This window comes from Homo sapiens, chromosome 2, assembly GCF_000001405.40.
Source record: "Homo sapiens chromosome 2, GRCh38.p14 Primary Assembly".
In the NCBI taxonomy this organism is placed as follows: Eukaryota; Metazoa; Chordata; class Mammalia; order Primates; family Hominidae; genus Homo; species Homo sapiens.
Genome location: NC_000002.12, coordinates 106,783,791 through 106,795,639, shown reverse-complemented (window position 1 = coordinate 106,795,639; position 11,849 = coordinate 106,783,791).

The window sequence follows — 11,849 nt, the reverse complement described above, 5'->3', positions numbered from 1 at the left end:
TTGGTGGTATTATTATTATATTTCAATCTCCCCAGCCCAGTATATCTAAATAATTAATAGAGGAGAACACTGATGAATGCTAGACGTTGCAGATGGTTGCTTTTTCAGGGAAGTTTCATCTCCTTAAATTTTAGAAGTGAAATAAAACCAAGTCTTTGTGGTGATGATTTGTTTTCAAGGCTCTCTAAAGAAAACTGCAGGAATCCTTTTTCATGAAATGAGAAATATAGGTAAATATGTTTTTCAACATTTTTTCTTGTCCTGTTTTTTTTGTTTATTTCGTTCTGTTTTGTTTTGTTTTTTCCATATAGAGGATCTGTGCCTGCCGTCAAGAGGTCTCCGATTCATGGCTCCAAGGACGAGGTCAAACATATCTAAATGATCCTTGTCAGAATCTGCACACTCACTAAACAAAATGAAGCTAGCAAACAGAGGGAGCGTTGTAAACAGTACAGCTACCCTCTGCATTCTCTTCTTTCCAGCTTCGCACTGTATTGGAGCTTTCCCACTGTGGTATATTGGTTATCTTGCGGCACAACAGACCATAGTGGCTCAAAAAAAGAATGATGTATCATTCCTCATGCTTCCACAAGGTTTTGCTGGGCAGTTTCTCTGCTTGCTTCTCCTGGCACACTCCAGGAGCTATGTTCAGCTGGAAAGGCAGCTGGGCTGGACGGTTCAAGATGGTCACATTCACATGTCCAACAGGTGGCACTGGCCATCGCCTGGGTTCCCTCCTTTCTCCTCCATGGAGCCGCCCAGGCTCCAGTGAGCCAGAGTGGCTCCCTTCCAGCAGACCTCGAGGTAGAGCCCTAAGAGGGTAAAAGGGAGAAGGTGGCAAAGTGACCCTGGAAAAGAGACATGCGTCAGGACGGAATGATCTGTGGCTGTAGAGCAGCTCACCACACTTGAGTGTGAGCCCTCAGTTCTTCCGTTGCAAGCCAATTGCTCCTTGCCCAAGTCACTGTATTTCCATTTTCCCATGACTTTATCCAAATTGGGAGCAAGATTCCCCACCCATAGAAAAGCAGAGATGTTCTCACACATGACAGTCTGCAGTTGTCTAGCTGTTGCCAATGCTGCACCCTGGGGTCCCCTCTACTCTGCAGTAAAGAAGCTGTGCACCCCATCTCCCCAGAATCCTCACTCCATGTGGGTCTGGGTAAGACTGTCAATCAGAGGCACTCAGAGGAGATTTCAAAGATAAAAGAGAGTGAAGGGCCATGAGTTTCTAGAGGCAACTGGTGGCAAAGGTGTGAGCAGATGCGTGATTCACAGTGGCTTCACAGCAACTTCTGGAGACCCCCCTACTTCATTGCTCTTACGCGGAGAATGGCAGGAGCTTGCTAGAAGTTCTGGAGAATTATGGGGCTTCCTGGGGTGCACTTAAGAACCGCCCTCGGGTGTGCCAGCTTGAGATCGCTGGTGGCAGCTTCCCCAGCCTTCACTCATAGTTCTTCCAACTGTTTGTGCACGCCACTATTTCCTTACATTAAAACCTCTAAACCTTGAGAGCATAGCGTGGCTTCTGTTCCCTATCTGAATGTTGAAGGATACAGTTTTTCTTACCAGAGGATTCCTCAGATCTGACCAAATATGAACGTAGTGGAGACCTTATTGCCAGTGGAAAATGGGATGTTTACCACCCATGACATGTTGTGGCAAAGCCACTGAAGTTCCCAAATGCAGTTAGTTGCCTGGAACCAAGTGCCTATAGAAGGCCAAATACGGGAAATTGAGCAGCTGCTACATGGAATGTTCTGACGGAAATGAACAGTCCAAGGTTTAATGTGGGGCTTAATGGTTATTTCTCACTGGAACGAAGATTTGGGGAAAAGGCAGTGACATGCTTGTCACTTTAAATTCTTATCTTAAGGCAGGCATACAGAGGTTCAATGGCTGTCCTCAGGAAATCCCTTATTTCTCATAGCTGAACAACCAGGACTCAGGGAAACTAACCAGGCCAAAATTGAATCCTGCGAGTAGCCAAATTATAATACAAATTGAAATTGCAGTGTTTTCTGGTATCTTACGTAAAGTTAAAGTGTTAATCAGGAAAGAACATCCCTGAGATTAGAATGGGATCAGTATGATCCTGTTCCTATCATTCTGAGGACCTTGAATCCCACGTCCCAGCAAGCTCCACCTGCCAGAGTAGCCCTTTCTCCCCAAGCAGAGTAGGTGAGCCTCCTCTTACTTGAAGACTGTATAATAACTGCATCTGAAGTAGTTAGCTTGCAAGGGGTGACGATTCTCCCTCAGACCCACCTCACCAACTCTTAATACTTTCACATCTGTAATTAGAGTCTAATAACAGCTATGGATTCACTGTGGACTTTAAGGGGAGGAGTATAAAATGTGATCTCAAAAGAGATTCTCTATGTGATATGGTTTGGCTCTGTGTCCCCACCCAAATCTCATGTCGTTGAAGTGTGTAGCCCTCCCCTCTTCACTCTTTCTGTCTCCTGCCACCATGTGAAAATGTGCTTGCTTCCCCTTCAACCTGCCACCACGATTGTAAGTTTCCTGAGGTTTCCCCAGCCATGCTTCCTGTGCAGTGTGTGGAACTGTGAGTCAATTAAGCCTCTTTGCTTTATGAATTACTCAGTCTCATATAGTTCTTTATAGCAGTGTGAGAATGGACTAATACAATATGCAACAAAATAATTGCAAAATTTTATTGGTTTACACTGAGTGTAACCTGAGGACTATGTATAGAAATAGATTGTGAAATAGATTCCTGGTCAAATTTCTATTTGACCATACTGTTCCAACCTGTTTCCCGAGTTACCCATCAGGTTGCCAGATATGAATGGGTGCCATAGTTACAGAAGGCTCTGTAGCTGATCTAGCCTACTGGGCAAGATGCCTTACATAGGAGCCATATGTCTAGCAGGTCCACGGTGGGCATTAGCAGATCCTGATAGAAGATTACATATGGGAAATCCCTTAAAATTTTGGAATAAGATCATCCACTCCTTCATATAACTCCTCTCCTTTTAAGAAATAGCTCCTAACTTGCTTCTGGGCCCTGGTAGCATCTATGTAGCTCAAGATGCACATTGAGAGTTGCGTCTTGCCTAAGTCAGTGGTCCCCAACATTTTTGGCACCAGGGACTGGTTTTGTTGAACAATTTTCCCACAAACAGTGGTTGAGAGGGGGTAGGATGGTTTCAGGATCAAACTGTTTCACCTCAGATCATCAGGCATTAGATTCTCGTAAGGGGCGCACAACCTAGATCCCTCGCTTGCATGGTTCACAATAGGGTTCCTGCTCCTATGAGAATTTAGTGATGATGCTGGTCTGACAGGAGGCAGAGCTCAGGTGATAATGCTCACTCACCCACCACTCACCTCCTGCTGTGAGACCTGGTTCCTAACAGGCCACAGACCAGTACCAGTCCATGGCCCAGGGATTGGGAAGCCCTGCTGTAAGTCACTGAGCCACAAAGCTGGGCATGGTAGCTGCTGTCCATCATCAAGTTGAACTGCTATGTGGGAAATTGGGCTTAAAGGCACAAGTAAGTTGCTTAAACAAGTGGCTTCAACTTCTGTGCACCTCCTTCTCTTGCACTGATACCTTTACCACAACTCACACCTGTGGCCCAACAGGAAGTTCCCAGTGACCAGGGGAAAGAAGAAGAAGAAGAAGAAAGAAGAAGAAAGAAGAAGAAGAAAGAAGAAGAAAGAAGAAGAAAGAAGAAGAAGAAAGAAGAAGAAAGAAGAAGAAAGAAGAAGAAAAGAAGAAGAAGAAGAAGAAGAAGAAGAAGAAGAAGAAGAAGAAGAAGAAGAAGAAGAAGAAGAAGAAGAAGAAAAGAAGAAGAAGAAGAAGAAGAACAAGAAGAAGAAGAAGAAGAAGAAGAAACCTTGACTTCATTTTCATATGGTTCTGCTGGCATCTTTGAAAGCCAGCAGCTGCAGCTCTACAGCACCACAGGGGAGTGACCTCAAGGGCAGTGGAAAGGGGGGTCCTCCCAGGTTTGTTCACTATACCTGCAAGGAGAGGGGCCAGAGGTATGGAACCACATTGAGTGAGAGGTCACGCCCAATGGCATCACTGGATGTTCAGGGACTTGGAAGTGAAAAATCAATGCTCTGGGAAAACAGTGTTTGAATGGACCTTTCTGAAGTCAGAGCATGAGGACTTGGGAACCTCGGAAATTCTTCCCAACTATGGTAGAGGTGGCTCTTATCAAACAGCAGAATAAGGTAGCCTGATGAGTGGCTATCAGTCACTCTTTTTGCCACCTCCCCAAAGTGGGCCCACTAGACTTGCATGCGAAGTGATCATACTGGCAGGTTTGATGGTCAAGTGTGAGCTCAAAAATACGAGCTTTCCTCCACCAAGGCTGACCTGGCCATAGCATCTACTGAGTGCTGACCCTGACCACAGCAGAGGGTGACACCAAGCCCTCTAATTTAGCAGCTTTCTTTCTGGCAGTCAGCTGGCCAGCTGGTTGGATATATTGGACCCCCTCCCCCATCACAAGAGGTAGGGGCAGAAGAAGGTATGTGCCTTCCCTGGAATTATCACTTCCTCTGAATATGGATTCACATTCCCTGCCTGAAATACCTCTGCTGGTGCCTCTATTGGACTTTTAGAAGGCCTCATCCTCATCCATCCACAGGACAAGTCTGACCAGGTAACTCATTTTATAATGCAGGAAGTGTGTGATGAGCTTATACCTATGGAATCCACTGGTTTTACCATACACCTTATCACTACAAATTGTAGCATCAACAAGCTAACAGCAATGTGACCAGAGACCAATATATATTGTCATTTTTGCCTGTAACTAGAATACATGGATCAAGGAACCTCCCATAAACCGCCAACAAAATATTGGCTCCCCATTTCCACCTCATTGACCTTGGACGTTGGTTATGGGACTCCTGATGCCAATGGAGCATGAATAGTTGTGCCTATGTCCAAGTCATGCATTTTTCTAACCTTATTTTTTTGTTGATGAAAGACATTTTGCATTTAAAGGAAAGGCCACAAATTAATTTTTTGTTACTGAAGCTTTATTCTTACAACCAAAAGAAGCCTAGATGATTCACCCAAATCTCCATTTGGATTTGATGTTTCCTCCTTAAGTGAGAGTCTGGCAGTGGATTCTAGCACATTACTGAGAAGTGACTGAAGATCTTTCAGGCTTGTAACCACTACCCATGCCTTGCCCATGCTCCTTCCCTCCTCAGATACCTTACAGGAGACCCCAAGTGTACAATCTGCCATGATTCAGTGCTAAACCATTTATTGTGCTCAATTAAATGCTTATCAAGAAGGATGCAGGTGCTAATGGGATGTGTATGCAGGATCAAGCCTTGACATTTTGATTTATATCTTTGCTAGCTAGTGGCAGTGGAAAGGAGCTCTGGGAAGGTTAAGAGTTAATCTACTGCTACAGCTCCTGGGGGACTTAGCATAATAGTGACATGGACAGCTGACCCTGGAGTTTCTAAAAGGCAGCATTTGAAATTAAAAACTTCATGAGCCCAAATGTCAAGTCTATAATTCCTTTCCCAAAGGAGTGAGAAGATAGTGTATTATATTCCCCAAGCTTTATTTGCAGGCAGTACTTCAATGGCAGAGAGGAATACCTGGATATATGTGAACAGCCTTGATGGAGAAAAGCCTCCCCTTCCCAGTCCTTACCCCACAAAGAAAAATAACAAAAGCAAAACTCCAAGGCTACAGGAGATCAAAAATATCTTCTTTGATATCCTGTGCCCTACCCAAAAGTGTTGAGAACAAGCTTCTCTTTCTAATTGTGGTCAGCATTGTTAGTGCTCTGCAAAATCCAGGTTATTTTCTTTCGGAGTACAAAATAATTTTATTCTGAGGCTAAAACATATGTGTCAGTCTTTATTTGCAAGGTGTTACATCCTACAGGAAGGAAAATGCTGGGTGGAGGGGATTGTATGGGAACTTTGGGTAATCTGGGTTGTGAGACCTCAGAGCTCTCATACAGTTTCACATGTCTGAGGCCAGCAAGTAGGTCAGTATGAGATATTCAGACTGGGGAATGGGCAAGGATGGAGAGAATCCTCCAATAGAAGGATGTGTTCCTGGGGCTAAAAAGCAGTCAGCCTCGGGTTTTACAAGAGTGAGTGGGAAGTTACTGGGCATGAGTAGTTTCCCAGGAGCCTTGACTCAAGATACACGCAAAGACTTCATTTCCCAGCCTTCCTTGCAACTGTCAGTAGTCACATGACTGAGTTTAGCCAATAGAATGTGAGCAGAGATGGTGCACACCATATCCGCCCATAGCCTCTGCAAACCTGCCATATTGCATGTCCACGTTCTTTCCCCTTCTGCAACCAAGTGACAAAGGCCATGTGACCTTGGGAAGCCACTCTTTGAAAATGACAGACCTTCCATCAGCCTGAGCTCTACAGCGATCCACATCCCCGTTAGGTCAGACAAAAACTTTGGTAAAATGGTTGCTTAACACAACTTGGAAAGGAGGGAAACCAGCTAAAATGCTGCCTGCTGGTGCATTTAACATGATGCAAGAAAGAGATGAATTTGGGAAATTCTGGCAAGTTTGTAAGCAAAAAAAAAAAAAAAAAAAAATCAAAAAGAGAGAGAATAGAGATGGTGCATAAATTTAGGGTCTAGCAGGGTTAAAACGGGCAGAAAATAGCTAGACCACACATTTTAGGAAAAAGACTAAAAAAGGCTTCCAGCAATAATGACCCATTAAATTTTCTCAGTTAAGTGGCTTGTCCTGTGGCAAGTATCAGATCAAGGGTGGAGCTTTTTCTCCCCTACCCTTACCAGTGGTTCAAATGGCCTCAGAGCAGCTGCCATTACATTGAGGCTATAATGGAGTCCAGGAAGAAAATAAATTCAGACTTGAAAATTACATCTAGGAAAAGTCTTATATTCCTGCACAGAACAGAGTGGAATCACACAGATTAGACAGAAGCCTTCTGATGTTTGAAAGAATTACCTTGCCAAGAAGGCCGGACAAAATGAAAACAAAAACAAACGCCTGTGATGGTTTGAGTCTTACTGCAACCTTGGCTCCTCAAACTCACATGAGCAGAAAGTGGGCGGTGAAAGTTCATGGTCCCTAAGAGGATATCCTCTCTAATACTCTGAAGTTCCCTTCTGCTGTGAACACATAAAATAATGAACAAGAAAGCCCTCCCAGAGGACAGAAGCACAAAAATTGATGGATAGGGAAGTTCCCTCTAGGCTACATAGAAACAGGATTACATCAAGAACTTTGCCCCATGCCAGGGCAGAGGCTTGCAATTCCTGCCTGTAAGGATTTTATTATTGCTACGGACCAACGACTGCTGTGTGTGCAAAACCATTCATTCCCTTTTTCAATAGAGACATTTTTGTTGTGATTACCTTATTCCTGCTTCAGCATTAGGAGTGAGTGTAATGGAGGATGCCTGGCAGGATAGGAAGAGGATAACTTGTCTTTTAGTTTGTCAAACCATACAAAGCTACCCTCAGACCTGATAGAGTAGACTGCACATAACCAGGAGAACCTGGACTTTAAACTTGATGTGGTATCAGGATAGGTCTTAAATTGTCTCCTCTAGGGAGAGAAGAAGATATCTTCTCTACCTTCTTCCCAGGAGCCTTGACTCAAGGTACACAGAAAGCCTTCATTTCCCAGCCTTCCTTGCAACTGTCAGTAGTCACATGACTGTGTTTAGCCAGTAGAATGTGAGCAGAGGTGGACAAAAGGATATGAATGGATATTTGGGGAGCTAGCAGAATGATGGACTAGGACCGAGACTGCTGGCATCACCCCAGACTTCATGTTCTATTCTGCCTTTTGTATACTCAGCTAGACAGTATCTCCCAGTCTCCTTTACAATTAGATGGGGCAACATGACTGAGTTTTAGCCAATGGAATGTGACTGAAAGTGATAGGTACCAATTACTGGGCTGGTCTATAAACACTTCTCATGTGTGATGAGGCTCCAGGTTCTTTCCTGAATGGCTGCATGGAGCCAAACTCCCCAAATGACCTGAACTACTAAGAACTGCAATATGAGCAGGAAACAAGCTTGTCTTAATCTAATGTGTATTTTGGGGTTGATGTATTAGTCCAACTAACCAACTAACATTACTCTAAATAATACACTGATTGTCCCCTTCTGTTTTCCCAGTTTCCCAATTCCCTAGGCCACTAATCAAGACTGAACTTATAAATATGCATTTAATTACAATTTTACCAATAATTGTATGGCCTCTCTCTCCTCCACACAGCCCCTTTGTGCTCCATTACCCAAAGCTCCTCTATTGGGTATTTCTTCAGTTTACTTTCTTGTTGATCTCAGGCAAAGCAGTTAAGCTCCTGAGTCTCAAAACCATGGGGGTTAATAGCAGAAATGCCTTACATGGCTATGTGAGGAATGGCTAAAATAAAATCTAGCCCATATTGAGCACAGTGCCTGATACGCAATACATATAATGGGGAAAAGCTTTTTCTCTGCCATCTTAGGTTCAAACCTGTAGACTGTAAATTAACTGACAAAAGATTAATAAAAGACATACAATATTTGTAATATTGTTATGTGCAGAGAGGCTTCACAGAAAAGAAGTAAAAACCCAAAGAATGTTAGACTTGAGGGCTACTATAAAATTTTAAGAAAGGGTTAGAAATTGTGGAGAAGTGACTAGAAAAAGGAAGGAGGGTTTGGGCTTCTAGGCTCAATAAATTATGGGAAGAGAACTAGGAAATATGTGGGGGAAAACTAATGGAAGATAAGAGTTATTTTAGTAAGGTTCAGTTATGTAAACCTAGCTCTAGTTCTCTGTCTGTGGTGATAAGAGTCGCTCTCCCCATCCTGGTGTGGGGACTGGGGTTGGGGGTATTTTAGGTCACTTGCACAAAGGGAAATTTAGGCTCTGCTTTTAGGCAGAAAAGGGGAAGGCAGAGAACCTTTCTTAGGTGTGTTGATTCTCAACTGCCTTTAGCTCACAATAATCCTCATGCCAAAGTAGCATATTTTGAAGTGGCGTATTCTGGACCTCTCCATATGTGTTCAGTGTATGTGTATGTGTTCTCTGTATGTTCAGTAAATGTGACTGTTATTGTTATCTTAAAGAGACCATATTCATTTGAAAATACCACTGGTCTGAATTCACCCTTCAAAGGGTGAAAAGGGTGTGCTTCCATCATGCTTGAATGGATAACTTAAGACTAGCTGGGGACCCAGATGGGGAGAGTTTTGGTTAAAGGAGCAGACATGGAATTGAACCTGTCACTCAGGAGAGGGCCTGGGAACACCACAGCAAAAGCACCTATGGTAGGATCCAATGGCAGAGCCAGTTAGGGGTGAGGCAGTAGTCATTTCTAACAGTTGATCTTCATCTAAAGCAGACATCTGGTAGCCGAGGGGATGAGGAAACTAGGTTTGGGAATAAACAGAATCATAAAGAAGTAGCAGGGATGTCGGAGAAAATAGTTTAAAAAGTAAATAACTAAGCTGTGGGAACCTAGAGACTCGGGAGCCACTCTCTTGGGACAAACTTATGTTTGTTCTTTGACTAAAGTCAGAACAAGACCCATGTAAGCTCAGTGAAGGAGTGTGGGAGACAGTCAGAGGTGACATCTGAGGTAGAACCAAGCCAGTCAGTACGTCAGTCAAGTCAGGCAAAAAGGCCTACTACGGGTAGTTCCAGAATCTCTAAATTTTTAAAGTAAGAATGGCTTGGGAGCCGTAATCAGGTTGGAAGCTGCATTCGTATTACACAATACTGAGAATAGCTAAATATTCATATAAAAGATTAGTAGGTGGTGTTTGTTCTATTTTACCTAGTATTTAGAGGCATTTTGTAGAGTGAGAGTTCCCAGGGTACCTATTTCCCCATATTGCCAGAAACAGAAGTCTGTGACCAGACATCTATCTAGTTTGTAATGAAAAGCCACATTTTGTTGATCTCAGCCAAGCTTCATAGAGCCCAGAAATAGCAGACATTTGCTTCAGATTCATCTTTCTCATCTCCACCAACATCTATTTTTTCATAATGCCGCCCTCAGGCCACTTACATTATAATACAGGTTCTTAGGCCACATTCCTAGACCTCCTGAGTCAGAACCTCTGGCTGTGGAACCCAGAAATCTGTATTGTTAACAAGTCTTTTAGTGATCTTTATCACCAGCATTTGTGAGCTATTTGTCTATGCAATAGTAGATGCTCAATAAATGTTCATTTGTTTTTTCCTCCATGTTTTTAAAGAACATTTGAAAAGATCCTTGCCCCTGGAGAATTATCTCCCAGTTCCTACAAAGCCGAGTATCAGAAATAAATTGAAATTGACTCCTTTACTTGCATATAAATGCCTGCTGTGGCCTGAATGTTTGTACCTTCCCACAAATTCCTAATTATCAGTGTGAACAGGATTAAGGACCTTATAAAAGAGGCCTAAGAAAGACCCCCTGCCCCTTCCACAATGTGAGGACACAGCGAGAAAATGCCTTCAGTGAGCCAGGAAATGGGCCCTCACCAGATACCAAATCTATTGGCACCTTGTTTTTAGACTTTCCAGCCTCCAAAACTGTAAGAAATAAATTTCTATTGTTTGTAAGTTACCTGGTTTATGATATTTTGTAATAGCATTCCAAAACAGACTAAGACAATACCACTGCCCTGGCTGTTTCTAAAGGAGCTGTGCTCTAACAGTTATCTCTTTTATTTTACATAACTCCAACCTGATCATGGAAAGTCAAAGATCTAAGCATTCTGAGTTTTTTATTAGCTTTTGTGTGTTTCATTGACTTTGTATCTTCAGTGCCTGGCACACAAAAGGTACACAATGTGTGCTTTTTGTCATGTATTGAGTTTTAAAATAAGACTCAAACTAGAATCTCGGCTTAGTTTATTGCTACAATTCTATTCATATCATTCATCATTTATCAGAAGTTCTATAGCAAAAGTTCAGCAGCTTTAGTCTCTTATGAAATAGCATTGTTCTTAGTGTTCTTTCTGTGCATTTCACTAATCACTGTGACTCAGTAATATATAATTATCAGAGCAAGCTTTGCATACATATGAGCACTTATTGCATCTATGCATGCCTATTAAGACATGCCACAATTTTTAACAATAGGAGAAAAAATATTAAAATTGCCATGGAGATTTTATTTGCTCTTGTTTATGAAATGTGCCCCGATTAAGACCATCAGTCTTGAATTCATTTTTGATCATTTCATTCTAACTACACTCTTAAAATAATTCTTGAATAGGATACTAGTTTTCGTCACTCACAGTGGAGAAATAAAATATCAGAAAAGGAAAATAATCAGCACTGAATTCATCCGAAGAATTTTATCTGGATTTTGGTGTGATGCCTTCAAATAGCATGTACTGTGTATCAGGTACTATTCTAGCAGATGCGGCATTCAAAGAAGAGAAACACAAGATCTCTGCTCTTTGGGCATCTCATAGGAGAGATACAAGTGTGTGCAAATAGTTGCCCAATGGACACCAGTGCTTGTTCTCTCTCTCTTGTTTACCCCACACTAGTTAATAACATGGATCCAGGGGAAGTAAGAGTACACAGTATATACAGCACCCTGAAGAGTGGCATGTCTGTTAACCACCCAGAGTCAGTTAGGAGAAGAGGTGGGCTGGTAGATGGAAAGCAATGGTTCCTACTCTTGGGGAATGCTCTCTCTAGAGGAGAGAAAGGAATTGTAGTACCATCAGCATTTCCTTAAGAAAGGACAGTGCATATACGTTACATTGGGAATGGGGCACAGGGTGGGATGCCTGCCCAAAGCCTGGTACACAGGACAGGCTCAGCAGTCAGCTGTGGGGCTTGGCTTTAGCACTGGGGTTTCCCGCAGCCCTGGAATGAGCACCATGAA